At 41.4% G+C, this 13,766-nt stretch overlaps 2 annotated features.

Annotated features, from left to right (window-relative positions):
• Positions 5,840 to 6,341: an enhancer, noted in NCBI's record as "H3K4me1 hESC enhancer chr7:45280819-45281320 (GRCh37/hg19 assembly coordinates)". NCBI's record gives its function as "activates a minimal SCP1, AML or CMV promoter by ChIP-STARR-seq in naive H9 embryonic stem cells {active_cell/tissue: H9 hESC(naive)}" and the evidence as "EXISTENCE:reporter gene assay evidence [ECO:0000049][PMID:30033119]".
• Positions 6,342 to 6,841: an enhancer, noted in NCBI's record as "H3K4me1 hESC enhancer chr7:45281321-45281820 (GRCh37/hg19 assembly coordinates)". NCBI's record gives its function as "activates a minimal SCP1, AML or CMV promoter by ChIP-STARR-seq in naive H9 embryonic stem cells {active_cell/tissue: H9 hESC(naive)}" and the evidence as "EXISTENCE:reporter gene assay evidence [ECO:0000049][PMID:30033119]".

The following is a 13,766-nucleotide window of genomic DNA, read 5'->3' on the forward strand; positions in this document are numbered from 1 at the left end:
ATACCCAGCCAATGTTTCTTTCAAATACTAAGGCCATAGACAGACATTCTCAAGTGAGCAAATCTCAGAGAAGAGATCACCCATGTACCTTTCCTAAAAAAAGGTACCATGAAATCCAGCACACAAGATGAATAAAAATGTAGAAAAGATGAATAAAAATGAATAAAATAAAAAGTAAAAATGAATGAAAGATGAACAAAAAGATGAATAAGAATATAAAAATGAACAAAATAACTGGAAGAGTATATTGAATACAGAGAACATAATTCATATGGGACATTTTGGTTATCGAATTGAATACAAATGCCTTAATCCAGGACGAAACATAACATTTTCAAACAATATATAAGTAGGTGGAGATAGGTGGAGTAAGTACTAATTTTCTCATCACTCTTAACTCTTAATGTTTTGTGTATTTAAAACATCTTTTAGAAATCCAGATGATCTCTTCTGATGAATAAATGTTTATTTGAGACTTAGCATTTAATTGTTTCACCCCAGTTTCTTTTAAAGATATATTGCAAGTAAATTCAATTTAAACATTTTAAAATTAAAGTTAGTATGTTTAGGATGATTCCATCTTAATACAATCTATCTATCTATCTATCTATCTATCTATCTATCTATCTATCTATCTATCATCTATCTATCCATCATCTATCATCTATCCATCTATCTATCTATCTATCTATCTATCTATCTATCTATCTATCATCTATCTTCTATCTCTATCATTTAACTTCTATCTAATCTATCATCTATCTATATTATCTATCTATCTGTCTATCTATCTATCTATCATCTATCTACCTATCTACCATCTATTTATCTGTGAAGGTTATCAGAATCAAAATAGAATCACTAATGTTAAGAAAACCCCTATAAATAGAGACAGGGAAAGCCATGAAGAGAGGGTTCTCACATTTATATGCCTGATAACAAAAAAGACTCTAAGAAAAACACAACCTTGCACAAATGCCATCGCAACCTTACACAAAAAATACTTCTGCAAGGACCTCTGCCTAGCAACTATCTGTCCAACTTTGGACTGGCATCACCCTTGTTATTGATCTTTGTAGCCAAGGATAATAATTTCAAAACAATTATGTAATTCTCTTCATTTTTCTTTTTTAAAAACTTTTGTCTTCCTTTACCTCCCTGAATATGCATGTAGTTTACTATGTCTTATGTATTCCAATTGCAATGCTCTATTCCCAAATAAATATCTTTTCTTTTAAAGACTTTCTATAGGTTGACGTATCTACCTACCTACCTTCTACCTTCTAGCTGTATTTATGTAATATTTCCATTTTTGTGACATCATATCTCTCTAGTCTTACTTCTGTGCATATGTATGTATGCAGAGATGGACTTTGGAATCATGGTAACTATTATTGTATATTAGTCAGCTCAACTACCCATAACAAAATACCACAGACTGGGAGGCTTAAACAGCAGACAATTATTTCTCACAGTTCTGGAGATTGGAATTCCAAGGTCAAGGTGACCTCTGAATCAGTTCCTGGCGAGGGCTCTCATGCTGGCTTGCAGACAGCTGCCTTCTCATTGTGTCTGTCCTCACATCATGGAGAGAAAGCAAGAGCACAAGCTCATGGTGTCTCTTCTTATGAGGACACTAATCCTATTGGATCAAGGCCCCACTCTTATGATCTCATTTAATCTTAATTACCCCTTAAAAGCCCTCTCTCCATATACAGTTACTTTAGGGGTTGGAGCTACAACATATAAATTTTGGGGGACACGAGACATTTAGTTCATAACACATTGGATGGCAAAATTGTTTTTTTCTCTTTGTGTCCTTTCGTATTTTTAAAATATTTTATAATAAGTATTATAAATCTTATAAAGGGTAAGGAGGTAGAAGTGGGGAGTGTGATGAGAAATTACTTAGTGGGTACAATGTACATTATTTGGTGATAGATACACTAAAAGCTAGGACTTCACTACATGTAATATGTGCATGTAATAAAATTGCACCAGTACCCCTTAAATGTACACAAAGAAAAAAAATGTAAGCCATTTTGTAAAAAGGTATTGCTGATGTTATAGATTTTACTAGAAGTAATAATAGCTAGCATCATCGCTATAGATTTTTTAAATGAATCACAAGCACCTTCATTTATTCATGTGACTCCAATCAACTCAAGGTCGGTAGGGAAACAGGCTCAGAGAGACTCTGGTGTCCCAGCTGGTGAGTATCAGAGTCTAAACTCACAGCTTTATTTTTCAGCATCCTTTCTTTTTTTCTACGTGATAAAAGGTTGTACATTTCAAGGTGAGTCTCAATCATTTCCCGTCATGCGTTTACAAATTCAGTAACAAAGTTTAAGGTCTCACACAGTAAAAATCAATTTGCTTCTGTATTTGGGAAGAAGTAAAAACAGCATTGTTGTCCTTAAGAAATTATTGTTACAGGAAGGAGAGTTCTACCCCTTGTTACCGTAGCCTCTCGTGTGGCTGCAGCGACACAGAAATTGGAGCCTGGTGGAGGAGTGTGGCTCTGCTCCTCTACTGCCGGCCTCACCCGACCCAGGAGGTCACCGTGCTGGGTGACTCAGCTCCTGGCCTTTCAGAGGGCAAAGTGGTCTGGAGAGCTGTCAGCTGGTCCTCAGATATCCCATTTGTTGAGGTCTGGCCCCACATGGCATGCTCCAGCACACATCGTTTTTGTCAGATGTTCCTGAGAGTTGGATGCCCAGGTGGGAGAGGCTTGGAAGGCAACCACGCCCACCACCCATTTGGATGACGCTCCTCCTCTCTGAGCCCTCCAGGTAATCACAGCTGTCAGCTTTGGCTGTGCCCAACTGCTCCCTGGGTCTCCTTCAGCCTTCTCTGTTGTCTCTTCTTTAAGAACAAGGTGTTCTTCCGAGCAGACCAGTTCTCCATCAGGCACCAAGGAGTCCCTCCATGAGGCCCGACAGACACACATCTGCTCTTTTCCCACCGAGTTCACCCACTGTCCCGTGCTCATGCCCATTTCTGATGTCCATCCTTGCTAGTCATTCCTTAGGCTCTTCCACTATTCAAATCATTTCACTAAGGAGTTCTGGTCTTTCAAATATCTTTTCTTTTAAAGACTTTTTCTGTTATTTAGGTTGACATATCTACCTGCCTACCTACCTTCTACCTTCTAGCTGTATTTATCCAGTATTTCCATTTTTGTTTCAAACTATGCATTCATTGTTCATGAGGACTGAAAAGAATCGAATTTGGATTTGCAGTGACCTGCATTTGTGATTTCAGACTTTGTTCTTTAGGTTTCTCCCCATCGTTGCTGCACATTTCTCTCCTCTGCCCTGGCTCTCTCTTCTCTCTACCTTTGAGGCTCCATGAAAAATTCACCCCCCACAGGTTCCACTGTAAATAGGCTCTCGGGAGGTGTCGGTCTGTGGCAGGCCAATTCTCCGACAGTTACACAGACAAATTTCCACAGCACTGCCTTAACATTGAGCAAATAATTAAACCTGGGGAAACTGATGCCCAGACATCAAAGCTAGAAAGGAAACATATGGTCAGTAGGAGCCTTGCACAGACTTTTCCCTAACCTGGAGCAAGTCAAAATAACGGAGACAGCCTTCCATTCCTCGTGCCAGGACCTGTCTCAGGTCGGCAAAATCTGAGATGAGTCAAGGGAACACAGGCAGCTGTTTAAATAGATTTATTAGAGAATTGAAGGCAGCTGTCCTGACCAAGCTGTAAATGAGATAGCTAGAAATAATCACTCCGGTACCACAGTCCTCACTAATTAGAATTTAGGAGACAGGCCTTGAAGGTACTAGGGCCCTCACAGCCTGATCAGACTTAGAAAGCATTTTTTTTTTGGCCTCTGACCTTCTAGTTAAAACAAAATTAGTTACCTGTAGACTTAGGCAAATGTGATACCGCTCATAGGCACATGACCCTAACCTGTATAAGCACTAAGAAAATTGTAACACTTTGAGTTGGTCTGGTGGAATTATCTCTGGCCTTCTCCCTATAGCTGGTTACAGCAATAAATTCCCTTCTTTCCTAGTTTGTCTGCTTCTCATTACTGGGCCATAAGAAAACTCAGCCGGACTCAGTTTTGTTCCTGGAACAAGTCCACAGGGAACAACCTTTTTTGCTGAAAGTGAACTGTGGGCCCAGCTGTGTCTTGCTGCTGGGAACATCATGGGGACTGGTCTAGCCCCCTCAGCGCCCTGGCCTGGTTGAGCCTCCTCTTCTGGGCAAATATGCCTTCAGCATCTCAGAAGAGATACATTCCATTGGTTACTCATTCCCGTGGAGTGGGTTCTCCTGCCTGACAGCTTCACCAAGAGTCTGGGAGTGGTGCCAGTTGCCACGGACGGGCTACAGGCTCATCCCTGAGTCAGCCACCATTCAGAGTGAAGGGAGTTCATGGTGGGCACAGCCCTGAGCTAGGGGATGGGGTCAGCCCTCGGGACACAGGCACTGGGGATGCCAGGCAGGGAAGAACACGTCTTAACTTCTAGAGGGAAGTGTAAAGTGGACAACCTTTTTGTGCACAATTCAACTTCTTTCTTAAATTGGCCCCCTTGCACTGCTAATGTATACTCTCTTTTTTCTTTGCTTAAGAAGATATAGTCCAAGCACTGCTGGGAAAATATTTTGTTTCTTTGATATTCACAAGAAAATTTCCTTTTGCACACACAAAATATAAAGTCAATAGTTCTTTTATTCATATTTTTAGAAGTCAAGATGTTTTCTTATTTTTATTTTTTAAGGAGTGAATTTCAAAATGTTGAAAAGTCATGTTCTCATATTTGGTTGTGAGCTCTTTAAATATAGTAATTTATGGAGGAGGAGGTCTAGTTGGGTGTTAGTCAATATTATTTCAAAATTATTACAAAATTATTACTTAAACATTCCTTCACTATGTAAGCACAATAATCGCATCTAAGTGCAGCCGCCACTACCCCTCACTGGGCGGGACTCCTGGGCCCAAGGCTGTCTCTGTCAACTCCTGTCTCATTTCCTGGGGGCCCCGCCCTTAGCGGTTTTCCAGTAGATATAAATGTTATTTGCTCTATTGTTATATCTATTTTATTAAAAGCAAAACTTCCTCAGTTTCCTGCTAGCTTGTTTTTAAAAAAGGTTTCTACAATTTATACAACATTCCATTTAAGAGTTTTTTTCTGAGTTAGGAAAGGAAGTCTCCCCTTCCGCTTGGTTCAGAATTAGAGAGACACTCCCCTGCCCCACCTCACTGAAATTCATTTGTTTATCTCATTATTTCAGCTGCAGTTTTCTAGAGATATGCAAACCACCAGAGTAAAAATTATTAAATGAGAATGTCCCCCAGCAATTAAGGGGAGCAACGTGGGGGAAGGGTAAGTGCATTCACTAGGGGAGACAGCCTGCCTTCCTATGATAGCGGGAAAATGGCATTGGATAATCCCTCCCAAGTCTTATTTCTGGGAAAAATTAATATCTTTGACACTAAGCTTATTGGTTTCTAGTCTTTACCTCTTAATTTATCTTTCTTCCCAAGATTTGTCCTTAAACAAAGCAGATAATAAAGTACACATGATGCGATGGCAGTGTGAACAATTCAGGACGTGAAATAGAATTCCACCATCCAGGTGAGCAAGGCTCATGACTGAAATGGCACTCGGGCAGCCCCAGCAGCAGGGCTGGGGTGAGCCTGACAGGAGCAAGGACCCTCGGAGAGTCTCCCCATGCCCAGGTGGGATGCCCAGGGAAGAGAGGGTGTCCCAGAGGGGCTGGAGCTGAGAGGAGAGTACAGAGACCAGACCATGTGGACAGGTTTGGAGCTTGCTGGTAAGAAGAAGACCACCAAGGATGCTTGAACAGAGAGGTGAGCTTGGAGATCAGACCATGCTGATGGGCTTGGAGGGGCAGGCAGGGATAGAGAGTGTTCAAGGCATGTGTGAACAGAAGGTGAAGAGAGAGCAGCCTTAGGGAGGGAGTGGGTCCAGCCGTCGGGGAAGGAGCATCCCTGAGAAGGCAGGCAGAAGTGCGAGGTGGAGGCCAGGTGGTGTGGATGGGGCAGGGATGATTCAGCAGAGTTGATAGGAGGGCCACACCCTGCCCAAGGGCGGTGGAGGGGAAGGGAGCTTCCAGTCTTTGATTGTACTCCAGGGACATGGAAAGACTTGCTCTTGGGTCTTTGCCGGGGAAATGGTTATAAGGGCCAGCATGGGGCGAAGTGGATCCTGGTGATCCCTGGTGGCAAGTGACCAGTGGGCCAAGCCCTTGGAGGAACAAAAGAAGTTACTTTAAGGGAGCAGGGGCGGGGAAGGAATTTTGCCTGGAGGTGCCTGACACCCTGGCATGGAGAGCAGGTGGGGCACCCCATGCCTTGAGAACTGGGGTCCACACATTAAGGATGGCTCTGGGAGTGAGCAGGATGGAGGAGGGGTGTGGAGCCGCCTTCTGAGAAGCTTGCCCTGTGGCTTTTTCTTCCGTCTCCCTTCAGTCTCTGAGTGCTGTTTGGCCCCAGCAGGTGCCTTGCTTGTCTCTCTGTTGAGCACAGCAAACCCCTTCCCTCGTTGTCCACTCAGCCACCTCGAATCACCATGGAGCCTGCCTGAATGGCCACTTGCTGGGGTTCCTGGTTGGACCTAGCTGGTGAGGCCCCACCACTGCCTCCCTATGATGCTGATTGCAACAGAAACCACTGGCAAAATAAAAGTACAATTACCCAAGGACTCAGAGAAGTAAACAAAGCCACTGAATGTGGAATAGTCAAAACTTGATTTAGAGACCCACAGAGTGAGTTAGTTCCCCATGTTTTTTTCTTTGCTCTCTCATTCTGAACCCAAGGGCTGGTTCCAGGTGCAGAAATGTGCAGTGGCAGCAGAGACCAAAACTCCAACAGAAACCCCGTCTTTCCAGCCAAAGGAAGAAGGATAGGGCCTCTAGTTCCCATGAATGCGGAAGATCTTTGCTCTCCCTCTTTGCTGGAGCTGTGGAGCTTTGTGCTGAGCTGATGTTAGCAGTTACAGCTCTGAAAGAAACCCTGCCCTCTCCACTCAGCCAAACCAGGAAAAGGAGCCCTGGCAGGAGGGTCCCTCACCTCTGTGGAGGGCTGCAGTCCAGGGCTCACCTCTGAGCTGTGCGTATGTAAGACAGAGCAAAGGCTTTGCAAGCTGAGCAGAGATCAGAGCCACTGAAGGAAGTGAGGAGAGCGGATGGCTGGAAGCCGCTTGGACTGGCTGCCTGAAAGCAAGCAAGCAAGCAAGCAAGCAAGCAAGCAAGCAAGCAAGCAAGCAAGCAAGCAAACAAACAAACAAACAAAAAACAGCATCCTCTAGGGGGATCTAGAGTCTAGATGACATAATATTAAAATGTCCAGGACTCTATTCTGAGGAGGTGACACTGATGGCCAGACCTAAAGCTCAGAAGGTGAAGGGTATGCTTGTCAGGCGCACAGCCTGGGCAAAGACCCTGAAGTGCTGGTTGGTGAAGTGCGCTGAGGTCTCTACAACAGGCAAGGCTGAACAGGGCCTGGTTGGCTCAGCCCTGTGGGTGTGGTGAATGGGTGCTGGCTCCAGGCTGCAGCTACCTACCTGTGTCCTGCAGGGCCCAGGAGGTGGTGCCCATTCTCTGCTCTAGGTAAGGGCATACCTTCTGGTGTGTTACCCTCCAGCTGTTTGCTTTTTTTTGGACAGGCTGTTCTTGTCACTGGAGTGGTAAAGTGCAGAGAGCCCATTGAGCCTGGGAGACGGAAGAAAGGGGGCCACCTGTCCTGGTTGGTTCTACACCCTCTGTCACTGTGCCCGGGCAAGTGTCCCCTGAGGGTCATCAGGCTCACAGGGCTGAGCTAAGTGTTCTGATCCAAAACCTCCTAGGAAGGACAAATGTCTGCTGTACTCACATTTCCCCGGGACCTTACCGAAAAGGCGCTGAGGGATACTAGGTTCCTCATGTGTGTGTGCACATGTGTGTGCATGTGTGTCTGTGTGTATTTGAGTGTCTGTGTATGCATGTCTCTGTGTTTTTTTTGTGTACGTGTGTCTGGGTGTATCTCTGTGTGGATGTTTGCGTGCATCTGTGTCTGTGCATGAGCATGGTGTGTGTCTTTGTGTGTGTGTGTGTGAGTGCATGTTCATGTGCATCTGTGTGTCTGTGCCCACATACATGCATGCCTCCGTGTTTCTGTGTGTGCTTTGCATGTGCGTGTATGCCTCTGTATGTAGGACTTGGACGCAGACATTTGGGATTATAAGTAAACTCTCCAGCTGACAAGCCTCCTGCCACATCCAGTCTGTGTTAAATCAGCACACTATCCTCATAGTAAAATTCACCTGCTTCCTTAGCCTGGGATGACTTTATTCCCATCCCCCGCTGTCACTGTGCATGTGTGTTGACCTCCCTCTGACTGGACCAGGGCTAGATGTCAGGGCTGAGCAGAAACAGCAATGGAGCAGGCATGAAGAAATGTTGGATGAATGGAGTTTTCATAACTCAGGAATTCAGTCAAGGGAGAAAATAGTTATGGTTTTTAATTAAACTTCAAATTCACATTTTCTCGAATACCTGCTAAACTGCCCTTGCCACACTCTTAGTTTTCTATCCTCAGTGTGTGTCACATACTGGTACTTGGTAAATGTTTCTGTAAGTGGATAAATAAACAGGGATCTAGGAATGGAGAGCAGAACTAAAGTCCCATAACACAGGAGCTATAAAAGCAGCCAGGAAGCAGGGGATCCCGCAGAGGAGCAGAAGTCTTTTAGGCCTTAGTGCCTGCTCTGTGGTCAGTAAAAACACATAGTTGGAATGCAAACAGTCTTAGCGGCTATGGTGGGAAAAGGTCAGACTGGGCTCTGAGTGATCATGACCTGACCATTCACCTGGAGGTTCCTGACTGCCCTAAGCCTTGGAATTAATGAAGTGACACAGACGAGAGCATGCTTGATAAATGCTGTTTGGGTCTGACTCTAATTTCCTGTTGGCTGGATAAATTTTAGGTTCCAGTTCCTCTTCATCTTTGGTGATACTCAATTTTTTCTTTTCTCCCTTCCTTCCTTCCTTCCTTCCTTCCTTCCTTCCTTCCTTTCTTCCTTCCTTCTTTCTCTCTCTCTCTTTCTTTCTTTCTTTCTTTTTTTCTTTCTTTCTTTCTTTTTCTTTCTTTTCTTTCTTTCTTTCTTTCTTTCTTTCTTTCTTTCTTTCTTTCTTTCTTTCTTTCTTTCTCTTTTTCTTTCTTTCTTTCCTTCCTTCTTCTTTCTTTCTCTTTCTTTTTGTTTTCCTTTTTTTTGATGCAGTTTCACTCTCTAGCCCAGGCTGGAGTGTAGTGGCATGATCTCGGCTCACTGCAATCTCTGCCTCCCGTGTTCAAGCGATTCTCCTGCCTCAGCCTCCCGAGTAGCTGGGATTACAGGCATGCGCCACCACACCTGTCTAATTTTTGTATTTTTAGTAGAGATGGGGTTTCACCATGTTGGCCAGGATGGTCTCGAGCTCCTGACCTCAAGTGATCTGCCCACCTCAGCCTCCCAAAGTGCTGGGATTATAGGCGTGAGCCACCGTGCCCGGCAGATACCCATTTTTTTCTTTGTGAACAATATCAAGAGTCTAATAATCCTTCAAATCATTACTCTAAGTGGCAGCAACAGAGGGCCAGTGGCAGATGGATATTGGTCCTGGAAATGTGCAAATCCTTTGACTTGGGCTGTCACCCCTTATAAATTCTCAGAAGCAAATAGCAAGCTTTGTGAATGCCACGTGTCCATCATCTTGGAGATATCCAGAATTGCCAGTCATAATAACGGAATTATATGAACAGTAAGAGTCTGCTTATCAGCTGTTTCCAGACTTTCATTTCTATTTCTAATGGCCTCTAAAAGGAAATGCAGAGTTAGTTCCACCAGAGTGTTCATTAAGCATCTTGATAAAAGTGGCTTCTAAGACACAGGTGTGCTAAGATTTTCTATCCTGTTACTTTAGTCAGACATGATTTATCAGTGGCTTGCATTTGCTTTTACATTGCTTGGTGGATCTTTGTGTATAAGCATTTGCTTCTGTCATATGGAGGAAATCTTAAGACAGTAGCCTCTTGATGAGGTTTTAAGGGGTTGAGTCCTATTCACAGACAAAAGTCTCCGATGTGTCTAGAAGTGTATATTATCCTGAATGTCATATCAAATTCTGTTGAGAAAACTAGAACCATTTAAAGTACAATAGTGCAGGCTGAAGATGGAGCTCGTAACGTTCTAACCTTAGTGTTCTGGAAACCCTCTCAAATATTTTAATATATTGACTTAATATTTCTAAAGGATAGTTTTATTAAGTCTTATAGGATTATAATATATGTTACAATATCTTTCAATGCTTTATACTTCAACTACTTACTAAAAGGTTTCAAGGCAGCTTAAAAATAAAGGCTGTTGAGAAGGATTGACTTTTAAAACAGTGGATATTGTGAACCTGCTCTCCCACAAATCAACAAAATAATGGCAAAACAATAGAAACCAATACATTTTAGAACTCTGGAAATTACCTAGAGGTACAGAACAAACTAAAAAAAGCATCCATTCAAGAAAATAAACCACTGAACCTCAGTAAGAACAGCAGAGTATGTAGTGGCTTAACTTGAGGCTCTTTTCATCTGTCCTTCCTCCCCAGCTCAGTGGCATGAGCATGATAGCCACACACACACATGCACACACACATATGCATGCACAAACATGCACACAAAACACACATGCACACACACCTATGCATGCACAAACATGTACGACACACATGCACACACATATGCATGCACAAACATGCACAAACACACATGTGCACATACATATGCATGCACAAACATGCACAGGCGCATGCACACACACCCAGCTGGCAGCCTCACAACCAAGTGAAAAGAATGATTATTTTGGGAGCCCTACTAAAAGCCCCATCCTCAGAATAGAGTCAGTAGTTCAACTAAACTAGAAGCAACTTGGAAAATTTCTCCCATGGAGTAGATGTTCCTTGATTTGATTCAGAATTTAGCTCTGGAAAAAAAAAAAAAGCCCTATCCCATTACCGAAAACGATAGCAGTTTGCTGGCAATATTGCAGCTAGGTGAGGTTGTGATTTCAGTTAGGACAAAAACAGCCTGTCCAAACATTTAAAAAGAAGACCTGAAGAGCTAGATGACCATAGGGAACTTCCCACAGCTCTGACGTATTCCTGGATGTGTGCAAGTCTGAGGAGATGCTCAGGAAAGATCTGGGAAATGAGAAGACCATGTCTGGCTGACCTCAAGATCCTGTGTAAGCAGGAAATGAAAACCAAGGTTGTTTTGTAAGCTGCCTACAATTTTAAGGTGTGCTTTACAAACACCCTTGGCAAAGGATGGCTTAAGGTATTGAAGAACATTTTCTGATTGATATTTGGCTGACCGCTAAACTATACTGAACTTAGGGTAATTTTTAGGGATCCAGGCTTAAAAATAAAAATAAAAACTTAAAAGAACTCTAGCAGAGAACTCAATGACAGCACATTGCAAGGAATATAGAATCTACAGAATTAATCCTAGAAAGTTATTAAAATAAGCAGCTTCAAGAGCAAGAACAATGAAATAGCAGCAACAACAAATTCTGGGGTGAGGGGATAATCTGACCAGAGTTGTTACAATATGTTACCTAAAATGCCCGGTTTTCAACAAGAAGTAAGACATAAAAGAAGCCCAAGGAATGTATGGACCATGCACAGAAAAAATAAATAGCAGCCAATAAAAAGTGTTCTGAGTGGCCCAGTTGTTGGACTTTGTACACAACAACTTTGCATCAGCTGTTTTAAATATTTTCTCTTTTTTTTTTGCCAACTAAAGAAGACATCCAATATAAATATTTTCAAAGGACTAAAGGCAACTATGTTTAAAGAGTTAAAGGAAAGTATGGCAACTACGTCTCACTAAATAATGAATATCAGTACAAAATAGAAATAATAGAAAAGAGCTAAATAGAAATTCTGGAGTTGTAAAATATAGTAACTTCAGTAAAAAAATTAAAACAAATTTGAGTTGGCAGAAGAAAGAATTAGTGCATTTGAAGAAAGACCACTAGAGATTATCTAGTCCAAGGAACAGAAAGAAAAAAGAATGAAGGAAAATGAACAGTCTCAGAGATCTATGGGTCACCATCAAGTATACCAACATAATGGTAGTTTCAGACGGAGAGGTGAAGGAGAGAGGAAGAAAAAAACTATTTGAAGAAATAATGGCTGAAAATTTTCCTATTTTGATGAGAAACATATTTACTCACCCAAAAAGTTCATAAAAGAAGTTCTATGTAGAACAAACAAAAAGAGATCTAAATGTAAACATATCATAGTCAAACTGAAGAAAGTCAAAGAGAAAATCTCGGCTGGGTGGAGTGGCTCACACCTGTAATCCTAGTACTTTGGGAGGCCGAGGCAAGCGGATCACCTGAGGTCAGGAGTTCAAGACCAGTCTGGCCAACATGATGAAATCCCATCTCTACTAAAAATACAAAAATTAGCTGGGTATGGTGGCGTGCACCTGTAATCTCGGCTACCTGGGAGGCTGAGGCATGAGAATTGCTTGAACCCAGGAGGCGGGTGTTGCAGTGAGCCAAGACTGAACCACTGTACTCCAGCCTGGGCGACAGAGCATGTTAAAAAAAAAGAAAAAAAAAAAAAAGACAGAGAGAGAGAAAATCTTGAAAACAGCAAGAGAAAAATGATTTATCAATTAGATTAACATTTGACTTCTCATCAGAAACCATGAGAGTCAGAGGACAGTGAAATGACATATTCAAAATGTTGAAAGTGTTGAAAGAAAGACTGTCAACTCAAAATTCTATATCCAATCAAATTATTTTTGAAAAGTGAAGGAGAAATAAAGACATTTTCAGATAAACAAAGACTGAGATAATTCATTGTTGGGGACATGACTTATAAGAAATATAATGAGAGTCTTTCAGATTGAAAAGAGAGGACACTAGACTAGCAACTCAGATCCACATGAAGAAATAAACCAGCAAAGGTTATTGTACAGGTAAAAGATAAAAGACAAAAGATAGTATAAAGATATATTTTTAAACTCTTTTCTTCCCCTAACTGATTTTAAATGACAACTGAAAAAAACAATTGCAAAATGGTGTTATAAGCTTTTAGTGTATAAAGTTGTAATTTATATGACAATTATAGCACAAAGGAGTGGGGAGAGAAGATACTATACTGAAGTCAAGTTTCTCTATACTATTGCAATAAAGTTAAGATTAAGTTAAAATATGTAATGTAATCCTCAAAGCTAGTGCCAAGAAAATGACTTAAATATTTAGTAAAGATAACAAAGGAAAATTTAAGAAATATTAGAAAAGAATAAAAATCCCAAATCAACAACCTAGGATTTTATTCAAGAATCCTAAAAATAAGAGAAAACTAAATAATTAAGATTAGAACTGAAACCAATGACATAGACATAGAAAAAATATGGAGAAAATCAGTAAATCCAAAAGTTGGTTTTTTGAGAAGATCAACAAAATTGGCTAACCTTTTTATTATTGAAAAAGAGGAAGAGGAGACACAGATCATCAAAATTAATAATGAAAAAGTGGTATTACTATTGATCTTTCAGAAAGTAGAGGATTAAAAGGGAATACTAAAAATAACTTTATGCCAATAAATTCAACAACATAGATGAAATGGATGAATTACTAGACAGACACATATTACTAAAACTGACTCAAGGAGAAATTAAAAATCTGAATAGAACTATGAGAAGTAAAAATATTTAATTAGTAACTTAAATTAGTAATTTATAAACTTCT

Source organism: Homo sapiens, chromosome 7 (genome assembly GCF_000001405.40).
Source record: "Homo sapiens chromosome 7, GRCh38.p14 Primary Assembly".
Lineage (NCBI taxonomy): Eukaryota > Metazoa > Chordata > Mammalia > Primates > Hominidae > Homo > Homo sapiens.